The 23,842-nt window shown below is 38.9% G+C and overlaps 1 long non-coding RNA gene across 1 annotated transcript in view; it reads left to right on the forward strand.

Annotated features, from left to right (window-relative positions):
* The first annotated feature begins 4,302 nt into the window (after positions 1-4,302).
* The window catches only part of HAFML (HuR (ELAVL1) associated fibroblast migratory lncRNA), a 51,960-nt gene continuing 32,420 nt past the window's right edge, over positions 4,303-23,842 (forward strand). Inside the window, exons 1-2 of the long non-coding RNA NR_183975.1 lie at positions 4,303-4,395; positions 19,740-19,828. This is a non-coding gene — a long non-coding RNA (HuR (ELAVL1) associated fibroblast migratory lncRNA). The remainder of the gene's footprint in view (positions 4,396-19,739; positions 19,829-23,842) is intronic.

Raw genomic sequence — 23,842 nt, forward strand, 5'->3', positions numbered from 1 at the left:
GGTCTAAAATCAAGGTGCAGGCAGAGCTCTCTCTCGATTCTCTTAGGAGGAATCTGTTCTATGCTTTTCTCTGAGCTTCTAGCATCACTGGTGGTGCTTGACAATCCCTATCTTGCATCTGTGTGACCCCAGCCTCTGCCTGTGCATCGCTTGGTGCTCTCTCCTGGTGTGTCTTCGCATCATCTTCTCATAAGGACCCCAGTCACGTTGGATGGAGGGCCCACCCTCCTCCAGTGTGACCTCATTGTCGTCTACCTAATTACATCTGCAAGAACACTATTCCCAAATGGGTCACCTTCTGAGGTACTGGCGATTAGGACTTCAGTATATTTTGGGAGGTATACAACCCAACTTACAACAAAGGAGAAGAAAGTAAGGGGGAATTGCACAGTGACCCTTCAATGCTTTGGTCAAAAGGTGGCACAAGTTGCTTCTGCTCACAATCCCTTGGCCAGAAGCAGTCACATGGCCCCACCTGACTACAAGTGAGTGAAAACACATCATTCCCATGTGCCCAGAAACTGACAAGTATAAAGCCTAATGGTTTGGATTCATAACATGTGGCTGATCTTCTGGGAAATGTCATCTGCCTCTCTTACTGTGTGGCTTTAAAACATGTCTGCAAATTCTCAGACAATCCTCTCACACAAGGTGGCGTCTAAATGTCTTCTGAAGATGGACAAGCCTTTGTGACCCACTTTTATTAGAATGTTGTGAGGCTCGATTAGAAACAAAGCTGCTGTGGGGCACACGTCTTGGCAGCCCTGAGGGGGCACCTAAGAGGCCCTGCTCTCCTGAAGCCACCATGCTGGAAAGACCATGTGGCAAGGCCACAGACAAATAGAGATTATGGAGCCCCACTGATGTTAGAAAGTAGCTATTTTAATATTCCCAGAGCCATCCTCCCACAGGGGTGAGTGAAGAAGCCCTCATATAATTCTAGCCATCAGTCTTGAAGTCCCCCAGTCACAGCTGAGGCCTCATGGGGCTATGCTGTGCTCAGCTGGAATTCCTGACCCACAGAATCTGTGAGCAGAATAAATGTCACTAAGTGTTGGGGCGATTTGTTGTATTTCCATGGTAATGGGCACCATGCTATTTATATTTCTCTGGCAGGATCAGTATCTTGAGAAGAGGGGTAGATGCAGAGGCAGATGTGTCTCTCGTCTTTTCCACGTGAAAGGAGGAGTGGCATATTCTGGAAAGAGCTGAAAGCAAGAGGCTTGCTTCCTGGTATTGCTTAAAAGAATTTAAAAACTATTCAGAAAGTAAATATATTATTTTTAAATATCCCTTCTGAAGATATTCTAGACCTTCTCTTTTCTTTTTTTCATTTCCAAAAATCTTTATTCACTTTTTAATTGATATTTGATAGATATACAAACTTTCAGGGTACACGTGACAATTCCATACATTCATATAATGTATAAAGATCAAATTAGTGTTATTGGGCTATGCATCACCCTAAATATTTATCTTTTCTTTATTCTAGGAACATTTGAATTATTCTCTTTTAGTTATTTTGAAAGGTACAATAGATTACTGTAAACTGTAGTCAGCTTACTAATCTTATTTCTTCTAACTGTATATATTTGTACCCATTGATCAATCTACCTGTCTCTTTTGTAAACAGCCTTTATTAATAGAAAATTGTACATATAAATAAATCCACTTTTTCAACATGGAAAATTGATCTCATCTTCTCATATTCTGATTTCAGGAGAAATCACTCTTCTTATTTATCTACTTAAAAATTTTACTAAGTTGTCTCTTTATGCATTTATCATTTCAAAAAATTACAATATTAACAGTGATTGTCTCTTGATGATAGAATTAAGTGAATTTAAAATGTTAGTCCTAAATTCGTTTATTTTCTGAACATTGTATAAAGAATTTAGATTCTTTTTATAATCTAGTTTAAAGTGAAAATAGCTTTTGAGAAATATGACATGTGATATCAATTGATTGAGAAGGAATGGAATAGGCACCACAAGGGGCTTAATGACACCAGGAAAAGTTTAGTGTTAGGAAAAGAAAAGAAATACTTGGGAAAAGTAGAGGGTCCAGTCCAAACTTATGAAAAACCAGACAGTGGTAGAAAATGCTACTGGGATTTTTGTGGAGTTCTTTGTAAGCTAGAAGGAAGATTCTGCTTCTGATATAGAATTCAAGATTGTAAATTAAATGTTTAGGTAAATAATATAATCGGAATAGTGTTTTAGGAAGATGATTGTATTCATAGTGCTTCATTTCAAATATAGTGAAAAATGGGGGAGAAGGGAATTGATAAAATAACGCACAGTTGCTTACTTCCTACTTAGAAGAATAAAAGATGTTTGATGATGGACACAAGCTGATCTGAGAGTCAAGGCAGCTTTACAGAGGGTAAAGAAGAAAACTCCTATAATAAGTAAGTCTGGCTGTACTGTGTTCTTCCTGAACAAAAGAACCGTGTATTTCTCTGTAGACTCTCTAGAAATAAACAAAGGAGTTAGTTTCTACGGATTAGGTCCTTCTTAAATAAAGTCCCCACCCAATAAACTAGTTTTAAGAACTAGTAGGGGCGGGTCACCGTGGCTCACGCCTGTAATCCCAGCACTTTGGAAGGCCACGGCAGGCAGATCACAAGGTCAGGAGTTTGAGAACAGCCTGACCAACATGGTGAAAACCCGTCTCTACTAAAAATACAAAAATTAGCTGGGTGAGGTGGTGCGCACCTGTAGTCCCAGCTACTTGGGAGGCTGAGGCAGGATAATCACTTGAACCCGGGAGGTGGAGGTTGCAGTGAGCTGAGGTTGCACCACTGCACTCCAGCCTGGGCAACAGAATGAGAGCAAGACTCCATCTCAAAAAAAAAAAAAAAAAGTTAATATGAAAAAGTATTACTAGTTCTTTTTTTGTTGTTTTTTGTTTTTTGAGATGGAGTTTCGTTCTGTAGCCCAGGCTGGAGTGCAGTGGTGTGATCTTGGCTCACTGCAACCTCCGCCTTCCAGGTTCAAGCGATTCTCCTGCCTCAGCCTCCTAAGTAGCTGGGACTGCAGGCACTCACCACCACGCCCAGATAATTTTTTTGTATTTTTAGTAGAGGCAGAGTTACACTATGTTGGCTAGGATGGTCTCCATCTCCTGACCTTGTGATCCGCCCACCTTGGCCTCCCAAAGTGCTGGGATTACAGGCATGAGCCACAGCGCCCAGCCTCCTATTAACTTTTTAACTGACTATTATTTTTGTGATTGTCACTTTGGATTAATAGTGATTAGGCAACTGAAATATAGCTCTCAGCCCAACAGAAGTGTTATATTGCTTGAATTCTTTTATTGGAAACACATTGGGCAATTCAAAGGAATGAGCAAAGAATCAAATAGAAGTTGGAAACAATATCCAAACAAGAAAACAATTTGCATTACCTCCTGACAGTTAGTTTTAAACCTTGTCTTACTAAAAGTGTGACTCTTCAATCTATAAACTGACCACTTCCTTATTTAAAATCAAAAGTTGAATATTTGAATTAATCTTCATTTCCAAAAGTTAAAAAATTTCCAAGAGTTTAGAAAAGTTTTCTTTAATTGAGGAATAAAACTGTAGAGTTCTCCTCAGTAATATACTTCCAAAATCCTTTATCCTTTCAGCTTTTGTTTTTTTCTTTCCAAACTCCAATGACAGAAAACAGAAACCAGCTCTGTGCTTCCAAGTTTCTGGAATAGTTGCAGATGAGTCAATATAAATGCCAATTTTCTGGTCTGGTCTAGAGTGAATATTTTGGTGATAGTTTTGATAATTTTTGATACCTGGTGCTTTTGAATCCAGTTACAGGAAAAATGCAGCAATTTCTCACTTTTGTTTTTATGGAGAAAAAACACTCAAGCAAGTCATGTTTTTCTAAGTTGTTGTGGTTTTTTTTTTTTTTCCAGTATCAGAGAAAAAACAAAAAACATCTGTTTTCCTTCAAGTCTTTGTGACTTTCCATGTCCATTCCTCAGTTATTACCAACTGAATATAAAGTGGGTGATTTTTCTAGGATGCTTTCTGAAGAACAGGAATAAATAAACTTGGGAATCTGATATTTCTGAACCATAAGTTCTGCATTTTGGATTGGCAAGGAATTCTCAGCTCCTAACAAACCAAACTATGACCTAGGTTAACTTGCTATTTGCATCTGGTTTGCACTCACCTCATGGCATCAAGCCATCTCCATGCATGTGATGGTGGAAACATTTGCAAGACGTGGCAGTGACAACAAAGGTAGCATTATGACCTCAGGGGTGTGTGTAAGACTTGGGGCTTGGTCTGCAGTAGGAGACAATTATTCTGCAATCTTCCTGGTCCTGCCATTAATTTATTTAAGTCCTGGAAGAATACTTAAATTGGTCTCAAGTTCCATCAGCAAGATGGGAGTAAGTATACATATCAATCTCAAGGGCATTATCTGAATCATGACAAAAATAGATATTGGTTACTTAACTTTACAAATCATTAGAGAGAAATATAACTAATACTATAGTACACTCTTCTGAAAACTAAGATTGTAATAGAATTAATAGGACATTTCCAGGACTTATAGGCATTATATTTGAAATCAAATTTTCCAAATGTTTATTTTTTCTCTCATTCATCTCAAATTCTGCCAGTAACCATGCATTGATATAAACTAATATAGCCCAAATGTGTAACTACCATTATACCTAAAGTTAATCTGATATATTTATCTGCTGATGGTTTATTGCTCTGCCTTCATTTAGTGTTACAGATGCAAAGCTGGACACAATAGTGGATGCTTCATAAAGGATACTGATAAAAGAAAATATACTAAGTATCTGAGGCGATAGAGGATGAAGTGCAACACTGTGCTTATAGCCCAGCTGCAGCTTTATACAGGAACGGCAGGCAGGGCTGAGGAATTTCTTTTGAGTGCCCACTGTGTACAACACATAGCACTAGATATCCTTTAATGTACTAGCTCATTTAATCCTCATAAAAACCCTTTGGAATGTGAGTTATTTGTTCCTTTTTTCCAAATGGTAGAACTTGAGGTTCATTGTGATGAATGAAGGTGTGTGTAATCACAGCGTTGGTTAGAGGCAGAAGTAGAAGTCAGAGTTCTCTCTGACTCTAAAACTTAGACCCAGCTGATAGGCCACTTTCACTTCCTAAGAGCTGAAACTGGCCATCTAAGTAGGAAGGAATGAAGGTCAATTCGTGGCTTTTGTTTGTAGTTTTTACAGTGTGGCTCCATTGATGATAGCAAGTTATCTGTTAGGCAGAATTCTAAGATGACCCGTGACCTTCTTCTGCTGGATGTTCCTCTTTTGATCGTGTTATATTACGAGGCATGGAGAGTTTGCAGATGTTGGGATTACTGATCAATTGACCTTAAAATAGGGAGATAATCTCGGTGGGTTTAACCTAAACACATGAGCCTTTTACAATTTTCTCCAGCTGCTTGCGGAAGAGTAAGTCAGAAATAATCTAAGCATGGAAACAATTCTACGTGAGGGAAATTAATCACTGCTGATATGAAAGCTGAAACAGATGGCTTAAGGGATGAGAGTGGTGCTAGGGGCCCCTGGTCAACCTCCAGCAAGACAACAGGTACTCAGCCCTGCAACAGCCAGGAACTCAATGCTGCCCACACCGTGAATGAGTTTTGAGGCAGATTTTTCCCAAGAACCTCTAGAGAAGAGTCCAGGCCAGCCAACATCATTAGTTCAACCTTGTAAGGCTTTGAGCAGAATCAGCTTTCTGGACTTCTGATCTATAGGAAGGTAGGCTAATAAACGTGTGCTGTTTTAAGCTGCTAAATTTCTATAATTTGTTTTGCAGCAATTGGGTTACTGGTCAAATTAACATTGTTTGCACTTACACATACTAGTATTGTTCTTGACACAGTTCTTAATTATGAGTTTGGTTGCCTACTGGAATAATTGGATCAATGTATTACTTTTCTTTAGTATGAGATTTCCTCCACTGGAAGACTTGCTCTTCTTTATTTGAGCAGGTTGATGTGTGCCAAATCAGAATAATGCATTTGATTCTGTCAACTTTTAGTTCGTTAAAGATAATTTATTTTAAAAGAGTATAGAGTTTGGTCTAAAATGTAATATTTTCTATATGTTCAAAAAGTGGACCATGTTTTTAATAGGAGATGCAAAGGCCTACCTGGTAGTGGAATGCTGGCTACAAAATGAATATGTCTGTGTTTGTGAAGGAAAGAAGTTATTGCAGAAAAAGTGTCTTGTGTACTGTTAAGAATTAAAAAGGCTTTGAATCCACTGGAATATCTGGCAACTTTGCTATAAAGTCTTGTTTTCATTAAAATGGTTTGGGCTGAACCTTTCTTTGATAATTTAAAATTCCTTTCCACTCTCCCTCCTCCTTTCTGCCTCTAACTCCCATGCTTAAAGCATCACTGGTATTTTGGCAAATCAGGCTAAGTTAAAAACAAACTACTTGCTTACATATTCTCCAGCATCTGTCTAGCAGTCACACAAGAGTGCGCTGGCGCTTTCTTCCTGCTGCTCTTGTGTATGTTTCCTGTTGCCCTTATTACTTACTGGCCTAATTATCCCTATCCAGGAGTTCTATATTCCATGGAAAGCCTCATTGCTGAAATGGCCTAGACACGTAAACAATAGCATCTGTAATGTCCGTGTCTATTCACTTCTCTGTTTCTTTCTTTTTTTTTTTTTTTTTTTTTTGTTTGAGATGGAGTTTCGCTCTGTCACCTAGGCTGGAGTGCAGTGGCGCCATCTCACCTCACTGCAAGCTCCGCCTCCCAGGTTCAGGCCATTCTCCTGCCTCAGCCTCCCGAGTAGCTGGGACTACAGGCGCCCGCCACCACGCCCGGCTAATTTTTTGTATTTTTAGTAGAGATGGGGTTTCATCGTGTTAGCCGGGATGATCTCCATCTCTTGACCTCATGATCCACCCACCTCGGCCTCCCAAAGTGCTGGGATTACAGGTGTAAGCCACCGCGCCCAGCCACTTCTCTGTTTCTTTAGTCGTTTCTTCCTTTACTCTTGTATTCTTCGATCTAGCCTTGTTTTGGTTACCAGTGTTATGTAACCAACTATTATTTACCTAGTACTATAAAATTGCAACAGCTGTGTTACACTCATTGATTCTATGTGTTAGGAATTCTGGTAGGGCACAGCAGAGATGGCTTATGTCTGCCCATAATGTCTGTGGCCTCAGCTGAAGGTGATTCAAACATCTGAGGGCTGGAATAACCTGAGGTCTTCTTCACTCAGCAGCCCGTCTGGTGCCCTAGTACCTGAGTTGATGTGACCCAAAAGCTGGACTAAGGGCCAGGCATGGTGTCTCACGCCTGTAATCCCAGCACTTTGGGAGGCCAAGGCAGGTGAATCACCTGAAGTCAGGAGTTCGAGACCAGCCTGGCCAACATGGTGAAACCCGGTCTCTACTAAAAACATAAAAATTAGCGCATGGTGGCACGCGCCTGTAGTCCCAGCTACTCAGGAGGCTGAGGCAGGAGACTCACTTGAACCTGGGAGGTGGAGGTTCCAGTGAGCCGAGATCACACCACTGCACTCTAGCCTGGCTAAGCTCTAAAGCCATTAAGAACCCTAGAACAGTTACACCCAGGACTGTGTGTACACCCAGCCTGGGTGACAGAGTGAAACTCCGTCTCAAAAAAACAGAACAAAAACAAAGGCTGGACTCAGCTGGAAATGTTGACTGGAACTGGGTTAGGATATTTACCCACTGGACAGGCTGCAGGTAGGTGTTCCACAGTTATGGCTAGGTTCCAGGCTAGTTCTGAACCCACCCAGACCTGTAGCTAGGTTCTGTGAGAAACATACCAAGGGGCGATGTCCAAAGAGTGAGGGTCTCAAACATCCCAACCATAAATGCATTATGATACTTATGATCTGGTATTAAAGGTCACATAGCAGCATTTGCACATGTAGTTGTACTCTATTGGTTGAAACAACTACAAGTCCACCCAGGTGCAAGAGAAGGAGACATAGGCTACACTTTTTGAGGGGAGAGTAGCAACGCACATTTTAGAGAAATATTTTGAATGGGATCTATTTGGTGGCCATCTTTAGAAAATGCAGCATGCCACAATCTGCCCTAGGGCTACAACAATTTGTATCCCACTGACATGCAAAATAAAAACACCCTCTCCCAAGACCCCCAAAAGTCTCCATTTTGACTTTCATTTTAGACTCAAGGTCCAGAATCTTATCATCTAAATTGGGTGATATGGGGCTGGGTGTGCCGACTCATGCCTGTAATCCCAGCACTTTAGGAGGCCCAGACAGGAGGATCACTTAAGCTCAGGAGTTTGAAACCATCCTGGGCAGCTTAATGAGACCTCGTCTCTGCAAAAAACAAACAAACAAAAAACAAACCTAAGTGAGCGTGGCGGCATGCCTATAGTCCCAACTACTCAGGAGGCTGAGGTGGGAGGTCACTTGAGCCTGGGAGGCCTAGGCTGCAGTGAGCTGTGATTGCTCCACCGTACTCCAGCCTGAGTGACAGAGTGAGACCCCATCTCAATCAGTCAATCAATCAAATGGGTGATATGTAAATAAGACACCTCGAGTGCAGTTCCTCAAGTATTTCTTGCAATCTGACCTGTGAATGTAAGAGAGAGGTTATCTTTCTCCAAAACACTGAACATACAATAGTCAAACCGATATAGGATAACCACTGCTATTCGAAAATATAATCACTGTTTCATAGCAATTCTGAAATCCAGCAGGGAACATGTTACCAGTTCCTTGATAAGGCTTAGACCCACAACCTGAGAGTTCTTCTCCGCAGCTCTTATATTCATCCTGGGCTCTTTGTTCCACCCGAGTCATTTTTCCTTTTTATAAGGAGTAGTCCATGTCTACAGCTAAGCAGATTTGTATTTGTCTGTTTCTTTATTTTTTAAATCATGTATCTTGCCAGTAAAAGTTTTGGAGTTCAAAAGCCTTTTTTCATTTGATACTGTCTCTGTCCCTTTTATTCCCATCTGATATAATTTCTTTAAAAATGTTGTGGGTTTGTTGTATGTCAATTTATAAGTCTAACATTTTGAGAGGGAGTCTCACTCTGTCACCCAGGCTGGAGTGCAGAGCCAATCTTGGCTCACTGCAACCTCCACTTCTGGGTTTGAGAGATTCTCCTGCCTCAGCCTCCGAAGTAGCTGGGATTACAGGTGCCCGTCACCAGGCCCAGCTAATTTTTGTATTTTTAGTAGAGACAGGGTTTCACTATTTTGGCCAGGCTGGTCTCGGATTCCTCACCTCAGGTGATCTGCCCACCTCGGCCTCCCAAAGTGCTGGGATTACAGGCATGAGCCACCACACCCAACCTGGAATAACATTCTTAAGACCTTTAGAAGCCTTAATATTTTTCTTAACAGAGACATGCCCTGAAGATGGTTTGAAAGCTTTTGGTCCATCTCAGTGTGTCTACAGGGCACAAACATAAATTTTTCCGAGGTCTGCATAAAGGGTTTTGTAGTCACATCTAAGGTTTCATCTTGATTCCAAGACAATGTTTTTCTGCTAGCTCTCTGGATTTAATATTTGAATCAATGACTCTTTCTTAATTGAGAAGCCTTTTCTGTCTGGAAAGACTCTCCTAAACCCTTGATAGTTGTTCTTGAAAAGGAAGAGTTTATTTTTTAGTTAATTTCTCTCTGCTCTCACATTCTACTATAGCTGGCTAGAAGAAACCACAATGCACCTTACACTCTTCTTCCAAAAACCTCCTTACCTTGATTAAGTTCATTAGCATATTTCTTATTTTCCGTATTACTGGTGGTAACTGTGTTGACAAGCTTTCTACCATTATATATACAAGTTTCCTTCCTCTAGCTTCCAATAACAATCTCCTCAGTCTCTTTCACACTTTCACTGACTCCCTTTTTGAGGACTGTGTTACTTTTCTGTGGAAGCTACAACAAAGTACCACAAGCTGGGTAGTTTAAACCAACAGAAATTTATTCTCTCACAGTTCCAGAGGACAGGTCAAAAATCAGTTTCATTGGGGAAGGTCAAGATATTGGCAGGGCCATGCTCCCTCTGAAAATTCTTTTTTTTTTTTTGAGATGGAATTTCACTCATCACCCAGGCTGGAGTGCAATGGCGAGATCTCGGCTCACTGCAACCTCCGCCTCCTGAGTTCAAGCGATTCTCCCGCCTCAGCCTCCTGGGTAGCTGGAATTACAGACACCCACCACCACACCCGGCTAATTTTTTGTATTTTTAGTAGAGATGGGGTTTCACCATGTTGGCCAGGCGGATCTTGAACTCCTGACCTCAGGTGATCCACCTGCCTCGGCCTCCCAATCCCTCTGAAAAATTCTAGGGCAGAATCTGTTCCTCACCTCTCCCAGCCTCTGGTAGCTGCATCACTCCAATCTCTGCCTCTGTTTTTACTTTGTCTTTGTCTCTGGGTGCGGTCAAATCTCCCTCTGCCTTTGCCTTATAAGGACATTTGTGATTGCACTTAAGGCCCACCTGGATAATCCAGGGAAATCTCCCTATCACAGAATACTTTGATCACACTTGGAAAGAACCTTAAAAAAGATAACATTCACAGTTTCCTGGGTGATGATGTGGACATCTTTTGAAGGGCATTTTTTAGCCTACTACAAGGCTTTTTGGACATCTGTCTGACACACAATCCTAAAAACAAATTCCACCTGTTTTAGGTTTTGTTTTGGTGGTACTTCATTTCTAGATCCCCAATTCCATTTCATTTACCATGATGGCATAAATAAAGCACCTCAGACCTTGTTCAAATAATTATAATCATGTTGTTTTCCTCGAAGATCTTGTGGTTCAGGAATTCAGACAGGATTCAGTGAGATGTCTTGTCTCTGCTCCGTGATATCTGGGGCCTCTGCTGGGCTTCATTGGAATGACAGTGACTTGGAATCATGTGGAAGCTTCCTCACCCTTATGTCTGGCACCTGAGCTGGGATGAATCTAAGGCGGTGCTCAGCGGGGAATGTGCACCAGAGCATCCGCATGTGGCTCTTCTGTGTTGCTGAGTCCTCATAGCATGGAAGCAGAGTAACCAAGGGATCCTCCTGAAAGGGTGTTTGGAGAGCCCCATGACCCCACTGGGCTCAATCAGTCACAGCCCACACAGATTTGAGTGGACAGGACTTGCGATGGGGCAACTGCTGTGCCACTTGCCACACCATCTTCCTCCTTTTTTGTTTAGGTGTTTATAACATGTGCTAAGTTTCAATTCTTTTTTTTATCTTAAAATAAATCATGTCTTTTTAGGATAAAGAGAACTCTTTTTAGGTTAAGGGAACCAAGCAGAATCAGCATTCATGATGAACAAGCATTCACCCCCATCTGTATAATAAATCAGGAAACCAATGTAATGTGCAGACAGCTCCTGAATTAGCAATTGTGTCTCATTGAAGGAGTCCATAAGAATACAGTGTAAATGTTTTAAGGCCCAACAGCCAGGTAGTGAAGAGAGTGAACTCTGGAGGTAGCTGCTCTGGGTTCAATTCCCAGGTATATCACTTATTAGTTCTTAGTTTAGGAAAATTTATTCAACCTTTTAGTGCCTCACTTTCCACATTTCTAAAATGGAGATCACATTACCTTCCTCACCCAGTGCAATGGAGACTAAATTAATATCTATATGGAAAGCACATAAAGCAATATAAGAAATAGCAATACTCATTAGTTTCTGTGAAATCAACTTTTCAATTCATCTTTACTACTAAATGGCTAAGAATAGACACACACACAGACACCACCACCCTTCCCCCCGAAACATGTAAAAATCTTGAATCACTGCCCTTGCGAATCAATGGCTAAGGAAAAGATTGGTACTGTCATGAATGTTTGAGAGCTGAGAGGGTCTAAAAGGATTCGGAACACAAAATTTAACAAAAATATAAAAGGCACTAAGGAAAAAGAAACATTTTTATAATACCTGAATCACTTTTCTCTTTTTCTGCCTTAATAATTCTCCAGACAGTGAACTCTTTGGTGAGCCTAAATAACTCCTCAAGATGCCTGGAGGAAATGTCCCACAGAAGCAGGTTTTTTTAAAGGACATTAATTAATGGAGTTGTTTAGCTTTATATTTTTGAATAACAATATTTAAAGAGGGTCTGAATAGTATACTACATGGTTAACTTCTCAATTTCTGCCTGTAGAAAATATGTTAAGAGTTTTCAGTAGAGAGCAGACTCTCTCAATCGTGAAGACATAATAATTATTTACCCGGCTTACTGTTTTTCATTGCAAATGTAAAGGCATTCTCTTTTTATGGACTCAAAAATCACTTTTAAAAAACTTGATTTTGAAAATAAATAGTAAAAATTATGACACTGGAATATTATCGATGAGTAGGACCGAGGAAAAAAGGGCAGAGTGGAAAATATTGGAAATGGCAAGGTCTGGAATTTCCAAAAGCACGAGCTGACTCTAAACCTTCAGATAAAAATTTTCCTCTCCTCGAACATTGGCCTCACACTTTTCTGGGTGTCGTTTTGGACTGTCAAGGCTGAGATGAATAATTTGGGATTTTCTCATGACTTCTGATCTGTAGCAGCTTGGATTTACTTAGACTTCAGCACCTTCAAAATGACATATTAGTGTCATCTATGTTCTTTCATGGAGAAATAATTCTGCCTTCCTCAACTGTCCCCTGCCACTGAATTTAATATGTGAGCATTTTGCTGTTTGGAAGTTTTCCAACTTCCCCATAAAGACCAGTCGATCACCTTGTCGCCCTTGTAAAGGTATAACTGCCTCTCTCAAAGAGAAATAGTTGAGATATTTGTGGCTAGAGGCAACTTATTTATTATTATTATTACTGTTATTATCATTATGATTGCCCAGTGGCAGATGAAAGGAGTTCTGTAGTATCAACGGGTCTGGCACCTTTGTTTCAGCTGGGGTGGCTTTAGAAGTGGGCCAAGCAGTCACCTGTGTGAGCTCCCGATTTGTAAGACCTCTGTGTCTACAGATATCCTGGTTTATTCTCCTTTGTTGACACATTTGAGCACCGTTATAGCCATAATTTTATTTGGTGGCATGTGATTGTTGAAATGCTCTTTTTGTACTTTGTACTTGCAACTGTGTGGGGCTAAAGCTGAACATTGTTTTCTGTGATTTATAACAACGCGGGAGAAAGATTAGATCTCTCACGTAATTATTCAGGATTTGGCGGATTCTTGAGCTGGATTTTAAGTGATTAGAAGAAAAAGGGGGTTTTGGAGCAAAATACTCCTTCATCATCTTGATTTTGGAGGACTTTTATACTCAGGGTGGTTAAAATATGCATGTGAATATGGCAATGTAGACCTTATTGCTGAGGCATTGGAAGCCTCCTCTTATTTCTCTCAAGCTTTTGAAGAAGAGTGTTCCAAAGGACACTGGACATGCTGCCTTAACCCAAACCACACCCCTCACCCTAGGCTCCCCTCACCCTATGCTCCCCAGCACACTCACCTCACTACTAAAAATCAATTCATGTCTATTCTCTGCTTCAAAATAATATTTCTCCTTAACACTCAGGGCAACTTTGATTTCCTGAGCCCTCACTTTGAATTTCTACCACCATCCTAGAAATAGGCATGATTCTTAACCTCATCTAAGTATGAAAAAACCAGGACTGAGAAAGTTCAATAACCTGTTATTTTGTATTTAGAACACATACGTTTAACCACTAGCTTCTCATTCTCCAAATCTCTAAATGGGAACAATTATAACTGAAATGTTAGGATTTTGAAGAATTGAAGAAAATGTGTGTAAATATCTCATGTTATGTCTAATGTATTGTCTCACTTAATTTCAAAAATAGCTAAAAGATCTTATTGAGATGAAAAGTTCCTGGATTGAGTATGATTCCATATCATTTGAAATGCAAGAATATATTTACCCCACATATATTACAGGTTTTGAAAAGCCAATAAAATTATGGTTCTAGTCTCCTTAACTCAGTTACTTTCAGCAGGAAATAGCCTGGTTTTTTTCCATGAAGTGGCTGTGTGATCCCAATACACTAGTGTCTTTTACTGAACAATATTTTGCATATATTATAACTTTCTATTTCTATTTTTTTTTTTTTTTTAGACAGAGCCTCGCTCTGTCACCCAGGCTGGAGTGCAGTGGCGCGACCTCGGCTCACTACAAGCTCCGCCTCCAGGGTTCACGCCATTCTCCTGCCTCAGCCTCCCAAGTAGCTGGGACTACAGGCACCCACCACCACGCCCGGCTAATTTTTTGTATTTTTAGTAGTCATGGGGTTTCACCATGTTGGCCAGGATGGTCTCAATCTCCTGACCTCATGATCTGCCCACCTTGGCCTCCCAAAGTGCTGGGATTACAGGTGTGAGCCACCGCACTGGGCCATAACTTTCTAAGACTGAAGATTCAATAGTAAAATAAATTTTTTCTCTGAAATTTGACTATGCAAATGATAATCTACAGTGACTTCTTTTCTGTCCGTTGCTAACTCCCAGCTTTTTGCGTCTACTGGGCTAAAAAGCGTTGTGCTCTACATGCAATAGCGAAAGTGCAGGCTTGGGTTCTTCCAGGGCTCTGACACAGAGAAGGGGTGAGGGGACTCTAATCTATTGGCTATTTAAGACACTAGACAGTAGCATCTTAGTTTGAGGACAAAGACTGAAAAGCAGGGTAACTTGAGAATGACCTGGGATCTGATTTCTGAGATCTGTGGAGATCTATAGGAAGATCTCCATTGGTCTCACATTATTGATCTGACTCTCAAAAGCCAAAGAAGGAGCTGAACACCCCAGCTGAGTCTCCCTTGTCTCGAGTCTAGGGAAAGTAGAACTCCCCCAGGTGTTTCTGCAGAAACAGGCAACTTCTTAATGATCAATAATGAGACATAGGAATTAAAATCATGATATTCCAATTAATCAGTAGATAAATAGCAAGAAAAGTCAATCACCTTTGAAGCTTGAATTATTTGACTGGAAGATGAGGTATAAAAATATTTCAAAGTCCAGAATGAAAATATTATGGAGATGAACATATGAGGGAAACGAAAATACCTTTGGGAGGATATATTTAAGAAGTCAAGCAGGTGATTAACAGAACTTCTAGAAGAAAAAAACAAATAGCGAAAGGGCAATACATATACGAATAATATTGTATTGTGTAACCAAATTATCCTAAAACGAAGTGGCTTAAAACAGTATACTTTTTCTTTATCCCATAGTTTTGATGGGTCAGGAATCCCAGAGAGGGTTAGTGGAATGGTTCTGGCTCAGGGCCTCACATGGGATTGCAGTCAAACTCTCAGCTGCGTCTGCAATCTCTGAACTTGACTGTTGATAACACATCCACTTTCAGCTAACTCATGTGGCTGCTGGTAGAAGGTGAACCATATGAATTGTTTTAAACAGAACAGCCCAGAGCAGGGGTGTCCCCAAAGCAAGTGATTTAAGAAAGAGAATGAAAGTGAGTGAGCAACAATGCTCAAGATAGAAGCCAAAGTCTTATACCTGAATCTTGGGAGTGACTTGCCATTTCTTCTACTCTCTGCTGCAACACTTCAGCCTTGGTATAACATTCGAGGGGACTCCACAAGAGTGGGAATACTAGGAGGTGGAGATTATTGGCAACCATCTTAGAAGCTGCCTGCCACAAATATTATAGAAGGAATATCTCTAGAGTTGAAGAAGAACCTCAACCTGAAATTTCAGAGGGCACACTCAATTCCAAGTTGGGTCAATAACAAAACATGCACACATATTCTCCATAAAGGTCTCCAATGCTAAATATCAAGTGGAAACCAGATAAGCTTCAAGTTTAAACTCACCTGTTACACCAAAGTAGAAAATGTGCAACTGGCCTGACATATATCTCTGCAAGAATGTAGGCCAGAAGACAGTGGGATAATATCTATAAGTGAATGACACATGACTGCAACTCAACGATTATAGATCAAAGGCTGAGGGGCGGTGGCTCATGCCTGTAATCCCAGCACTTTGGGAGGCCCAGGCGGGCGGATCACCTGAGGTCAGGAGTTTGAGACCAGCCTGGCCAACTTGGCAAAACCCCGTCTCTATTAAAAACACAAAAATTTGCCAGGTGTGGTGGCGGGCACCTGTAATCCCAGCTACTCAGGAGGTTTAGGAAGGAGAATCGCTTGAACCCAGGAGGCGGAGGTTGCAGTAGTGAGTCAAGATTGCGCCACTGCACTCCAGCCTGGGTGACAGAGCAAGACTCCATCAAATTAAAAAAAAAAAAAGAATTATAGATCAAGATATCAAGCTGAGCTAGCATATGCCTAAATAAAATATAAAAGAGAGTTTAGAATACATATCATGCATTTACCCCATGAGAAAAAGAATTGAGAAAAGACATTAACCAATCACCGAATAGACCATTATACAGAGCTCAAGACAGGGGAAAATAAAAGCAGAAAGGAAATACATGTAAACATTGTTGCATGGATGAGAATATATAATGCAAATGGTAACTAGGACTTTTGAAAGGGAAGGATAGAATAAGCTATATTTTGGTAACTCTCAGCCCCCAGATTTCTGTGGCTTTCAACAATAAAAGCTCACTTCTCACTTGCTCATACAAATCCTCTTTACGTTGAGCAAATCTCCCAAACAGCCAACCTCCATGAGTCCACTCAAATTTCAAGCTGCTTAAATGTTGTGGCTGTACCATCTTAAGACAAGCGCTTCCCCTTGATCCTTGATTTTCCTGGGAGAGGAAGATGGAGGTTCTAGAATTCCACAAAGGCTTTTCACTGCCTCAGCCCAGAAAAACCCAACATGACTTCTTGTATTTTATTGGCCAAGGACTGTTTGATGGCCTCGCCTAAGTGTAGGGGAGCTAGGAGATGAAATGCAGGAAATAAAGGAGAATTTTACGTATCTTAGCAAACGTAGGGGTAGGAAATGTGAGGTGAACCAGGGAAAGTCCACTGCTACCATGGGACATCAATAAAAGACTACGAGATGATGGAGATCAATGTATTGCAAAGTCGTCATCTAATTGAGGTGGATAGGAGGACTGTGGGTCTTACTAGAGAAAATGGTTTTTATCTTGTCTTCATATTATAGTTGAATCTCTGTGTGAGAGGACAGAAAGTGAAATTATCAATAAATTGAGTGGACATTTGAAGTGGATTTTCTTTATCAAACCGACAAAAATAAAGAGCAGGGCGTGGTGGCTCATGCCTGTAATCCCAGCACTTGGGAGGCCAGTTGGGGAGGATTGCTTGAGCCCAGGAGTTCAAGACCAGCCTGAGCAACATAGTGAAACTCCATCTCCACAAAAAAAATTAGCTGGGTGTGGTGGTGCGAGACTACAGTCTCAGCTTCTCAGAGGACTGAGGTGGGAGGATTGCTTGAGCCCAGGAGGTCCAAGCTGCAGTGAGCTGTGATTGTGCCACCGCACTCCAGCCTGGGTGACAGAGTGAAACTCTGTCTCAAAATAACAATAATAAGGATAATAAGTAAAGAGGAAATAACAGTACAAATAAATAATATGATTGTGTATAAAATAAATCAATTATATGGGACATTAAACTAAATATGAACAAATCAGATTCTTACATTAGAATTCAAAAACATATTTGCTGTTTTCAAGAAACAAGCTTAAAACAAATGAATCAAGGAAGACAGAAAATAAAGAGGCAATTGCAAACTGAATTAAAAGAGTGGAGCTATTAATACCAGAAAATATAGGCCTTTGGGGTGAAAGCACTGAATAGAATAAAGGGTATATTGTGTAAAACATTTCAATTCCAGTTTGATTTAAAAGTACATCAATCTATTGGGCAAAAATATATTCTTCATAATTGACATCAGAGTAATTAACATTGTGTGCGTCTGACCATGTGCAAAAACTGGTGCTAGGTGCTTCTGTGGAAATTGTATGTATTTTGGAAATGTTCTTATACTAAGCATTCTGGCATTCTGCTCTCATGCTCTTCAACTTTGTAGATGGTTTGGGGTGTAATGTTTAAAATGCAAAGATAGATGAATATTTGTGACCATTATTGCAACTTATTTAATGCTGCACATGATTAAAAAATACCAAATTTCTTCATTTTGTCAATCATTTGAAGTGTCTTAAACTAACTCATTGGTTCAAAGTCCTATAATCCAATGTGAAGACACTTCAATCTTCCAACTAAGAATGGTATCACCCTCTTTTTTCAGTAGTTCAACTTCGTTATATATTTTTGTAACTAGACCTAAAATTCAGTTGTGAGAGTTTCATTTATAATTGAGTCAGACTTTGTGTTACAAATGATAGTTTTGTAATAATAGTTCAGGCGATATACTGAAAACAGGAAACATTTAAATGAAACCCATTCCTTTAGTCTGAGGCAGATAACATTTTCTTTTTAGATATCATCTCAAAAGTGAACGTGTTGAGTTTACTTGACTATGAAGAAAACATTTCATAGACTATGAAATTACATGGAAATATCTGGTTTGCTATAAATAGAATTATGTGGCACAGGAGCTCATGAGGCTCTGGCGATTTAAAGTTATTCTGTTCTCAAAAAAAAGTAGGTAAACAGACTGCACATATGAAAGAATAAAGTTAGGCAGGAAATAGGAGGATTGCCAACCTGGCAATGTCTTCACAGGGCCTGACAGGACACAAAATTGGAAAGGTGCTGTCTAAAGTACTGAAATTCTTTTTAGTCACAGTCACTTGTGGACAGAAAAAGAATCTGATTTCCTTGGTGATAAAGAAAAAAACTGGCGGACTGAAGTAAATATTTTTAAATAGAATGAATAACATTTGAATATTTTAGTCTGTCTAAAAAACACAAAACATAAATTACTGGATACTGATTTATTAGAAATTGTATCTAAAATCAAACTGGATAGTTTGAGACTTCTTCATACAAATGGCTCCATAGTATATGAGCACACTGAGTGGGTGGATGCAGCTGAAGTTTTCTGAGAAGGTTATCATATGAAATGAGGACAGCAACAGGGCAAAAGTGAAAAAAATGAAATTTGAGACTATTTCTGCAATGATTCTTTCTTTCAAATATGTCTATTGCTCATAATACTATGTGAAGAAAAAATACAAGAAGGCTGCAAGGTATAATGTTTTAAATGTACTCTGTTACCTGCAACTTATTTGACTTCTGTTTGGAAAATATTCATGGCATTGTAGCCTGAAAAGCCATTTCATGATTGAAAGAGGTCACAGGTTAAATTTGTATTCTTTTATTACTCTTATTTATTGTAAGTAGCATAGGCTTTTAACAGACATCATTCAGCTTTTAACCAGACACGTTATTTTGAAGTTTCCTAGAGCTGCCATTGGGGGGTTGAGATGTGAGTGTGGGGGTGCAGGAAATGGAAAAAAGACTACATAATTAAAAGTTTCAAAGATAAATGGATTGATCTTGAGCATATCCTGAGTACTACGAAGTCATCGTAAGGATATAAAATGAGAAAATACAGAAAACCACCAGCATGTTCACACTTACACTATTAGTTTATTGTTCTCTATTTGTGAACAGTTAGCTTGATGCTTTTGTTTGTTTTTGTGTACCTAGGTGCCGTCTTCTTGAACAGTGAAAGAGTAGTTTTTTGAAACATCATAGTCCACAGTTTGAATCCTCTGAATAACACATGTGTCTGTTTTAGTTACCAAAACAATGTATCTTTCAAGCATTTATATAATATTATATATAAATATATAATAACATTGTGAGTTATTTACGTGAAATGAATGCATGCATATTTATTCAATGCTCTCTTCTTATTTAGCGACTCCATTGAAAAGAAACATAATATATGGAAAAATTACTAGAAAATCTAGGAAAACTGACTGAATGCTTTGGAAAGACACAGTCAAGGTGAGTCAATTTTTTTAAAAAAAGCTGAACGATTAGGTACGCACAAGTCAAGTATCAATGTTTGGGTCAAACAAAAAATAATTTTTTTTACAGTTTGCTTTGAGAAACTTGAATTTCTAATCCACTTTATTGAAATAAAAACTTAAAAACAAAGGATCGCAGGTATTATGTCTGTAAGAAAGCCAACACCTAACTCCAAAGAACAGGTCTTATTCCCACAACAGAAGCCTAGTGAATCAGTGCACATGTGTATATAAAATTCAATTATATTTAAAATATGATTATGTTATACTTAATGATCCTCAGTTTCACTTTCAGATTAATGAGCCACCAACAATGAGCTCTGATTACTTAATGATAAGACCTTTCTATTTCAATAGATTTCAGTCTTTATGCTGCACAAATAGCAGAGGCTAAAAACACTTATTTTGATGTTTTTAATTTTGTACAATGAAAATTAAACACCTCATACATTCCACACCTATTGCCAAGGGACATGCACAGCTGGACACAGAACCTCAATTGAGATTCTGTTACCACTTTCATTCGGGGAGTGCCATTCTCTCCCCTGCTTCTAACCTTCCTCTTACCCTATGTTGTTTTTGACATTAACAGAAAGATTTTATATTTTTATATGAAGATCAATAAAATGCCATTAGAAGAGAAAGAAGTTATTTTATATTTTTCTCAGTAGAAAACACCTTCGCCAGGATTCCTTACAAGTTACCTGGTTGGTGACTAACAAGAGCTGGTGTCAATTCTGTAACCATCTTTGGGGGCCACTTCTGTATAGAGAGTAAGTTGTAAAGGCCATTTCCAAATTAAGGCATGTTTATCCTCAGCATGTGGAAAAGACAAATTGTTAAGATGTGACTTCTTTCAATATTTGTGCTACGTAAACATCATAATCTTAAGAAGCAGTGGGACTTGGAGATAAAATGCCATCAGACTGGCTAGAAGTCCCTCATTCAATTCTCTAAACTCTGTAGTAAAATTCTTATGAAGACCGCTAATAACTCTCTGCTAGACAGATGACAGGTAGTATCTGGAGGAATTTATAAAAAAAAAACAAACTCTAAGACTGAAATAATCAGGTTTAGAAAAAGGCTGGTGATGGATCCAGTCATTTGCCTTCTGAAACAAAGCAGTCAGGCAGATCTGAATAAAACAGCAAGTTGCTAGGTAATTCTCCCACAGTGTGACAGTTGGCTAGAGAGATCACCAGGGGAAGTTAGGCCCCCTTCCTCTTCTGTATTGGTGCTAATTTTGAGGTGATTAAACTAATATTCTCCCCTTCACACACCTTTAGGCATCATTTGGAGATTGAAATTCCCAGAAAATACAAAGTACGGAAGTTGTGGGAGTGACTGATATTATGTCTTATGAGATGAAGTCCTTGTGGCTATTAGGACCTAAGAAAATTAGGTAAAAGAAGAGAAATAAGGAACACATGCTGTATTCACCAGAGGAAAAAAAATGGTTAAGGCTAAAATATCACAATACTGATGAAAGAATCAAAAAAGATGAATAAAAATAGTATATGGCCTAGGAAGGAACCAAAAATACATAAGAAAATAATACATAATAAAAGATACATGGAATAAACACACACACACACATCCCACAGGAGAAAATAATTATTTGAAAATATTGGTAGAGAAATTGACTAAATGATTTGGGCAAAACATAAATCAAACCATACACTGAAATAAATTCTTGTTTAAAAAGTTAAACTTTGTATATATTACCATTAAGTAACCATTTACTTGTTTAAAATAAGATTTTTTGAGACAAAATAATTGATAATTTATATCACAGATTTTCTGTCATGCTTACATTTTGTAAGTTTGTTTTCTCCTCTGGATAGTTTCACCTCCTTATGCTGGATATGCGACGACTCCAGGAATTTTCTAATCTAAGAACGAGCGTGTTCAGTGAAATATCATCGGTGTTGCAATCCGGGGGAGCACGTGAATGTGCCTGCCAGGGGAGTCAAAAGCCCTTCTTGTAGAACCGTGAAAGGAAATAGGAAGTGAAAGCTTTGCCATGTAGAACATTCCTCCACACTGAGAGCACAGAGGATACAGACTTAGTTCATATCCCAGCTTCAATCTTAGAGTGCCGTGTAGATATTCCTCTGTGAGTAATGACATTTCCTCAACATTTATATAACCCTGAAATATCTTCTGATTTCTGCCTTTGGTGTATAGGAAGCAACAGCACTTCTTTTAAAAGGGGAAGGAGGGTCAGCGCGGTGGCTTATGCCTGTAATCCCGGCACTTTGGGAGGCCGAGGCGGGCAGATCATGAGGTCAAGAGATGGAGACCACCCTGGCCAACATGGTGAAACCCCGTCTCTACTAAAAATACAAAAATCAGCTGGGTGAGGTGGCTCACACCTGTAGTCCCAGCTACTCGGGAGGCTGAGGCAGGAGAATCGTTTGGACCCGGGAGGCGGAGGTTGCAGTGAGCCGAGATAGTGCCACTGAACTCCAGCGACAGAGCAAGACTCTGTCTCAAAAAAACAAACAAACAAAAAAAAAAAACAAAAAAAAAAAAAAAGAAGAAGGGAGAGGGGAAGTAGGTCAATATAATGAAAGATAGCAAAGTAAAATAGTTTGACTACATAACATTTTGTTTTGTACCTAGAAACAACAAAAACTACATTCTCAAGATAATAGAAAACAAAAAAATGCAAACAAGCAGAATATCAAAGGTTAAGTAGTATTAACACTTAAAAAGCTCATACAGTTTGATAAGGAAAGCAATCCAATAAAAATTGACAAAAGCCTTGAATAGGTTTGTCACAGAGAAATACTTTGTCAATGCTTGAAAGCATGTTCTACCTCACTAGTGATCAATAAAACTGGAAATGAAAACAATTAAGATAGCTTTTTCACTCACAAATTGGCCAAGATTTTTTGAAGACAGTATTAGTCGAGTTGCAATGAAACTTCAGTCTTTCGTACTATTGGGTATAAATGGCCACCATATTTTCTGGAGGGCAATATTGGGATTTGTATCATGATGCCTAAAAAATTAATAGCTTTGACCCATAGGTTCTACAAGTAGGAACTAGCTTGAGGAACTAGATCCATGGACAAAAACATATAAACAAATACAAATTATTATTATATGAAGGGTGAAAAATTATGTTCAGCTTTAATATTAGTGGTCATTCAAAATTGAAACATTGTAAAACAAAAATGTGTACACAAAAAATTATGTGCTAACTGCCTGAAACAAATTTGTATAAGTCATATGATCCGTTTTGTATATTCATTAAAATAGTCATAAAAATATAAACAATGTAATAAGTATGTTTGAATAGTATTATGATGGGCTACTTTAATTTTCTCATATATACATTATTCATTTTCTAGTGTAAACATGAACTTTTTCCAAAATTATTACTTTTAATAAGAGGTAGTAGATAAAATAACAGATTACAATAGCTGTTGTAAAATGAATTATTTCATACTCTGTTGTATCTGATATCTTTTATCCTGCAAAATAAAGTTTGCTTCTTAAAATGTTGAATTTGTGATTTTTTTTTCTCTTTTCCACCTTCTTCCTCCTCCCCACCTGTACCTACTACTAATAAAAGTGAGCACAGACTGATGCTGAAAGGAAAGATCTTATGGAATTTGACTAATCAAATCAATCTTTCTCCAAAGGAGTAAACAAATATAGGAAAAAATGAAATATGTGATTGGCTTATGATATGTTTAATGCCAAAATATTAACTGAAACCTTAACATATGCATGGACAATAAATGGGGTATTGAATAAATATTTATTGATCATCGTTTACATGCAAAATCTGTTGTGGTTTTGATAGACACTATTGCATTGAATCTTTACAGCAACATTGACCCCAATGTGGATTAAGGAACTGAGGCTTAGAGAGGTTACATGACCTAACAGCTATTGAGGAGTGTCGGCATTCAAACTGGGCTCTTTCTCCTACACCAAATGAACTTCATTAGCATAGTTTATTTGGGTCAATCTATTC

Source organism: Homo sapiens, chromosome 4, assembly GCF_000001405.40.
Source record: "Homo sapiens chromosome 4, GRCh38.p14 Primary Assembly".
Taxonomy (NCBI): Eukaryota; Metazoa; Chordata; class Mammalia; order Primates; family Hominidae; genus Homo; species Homo sapiens.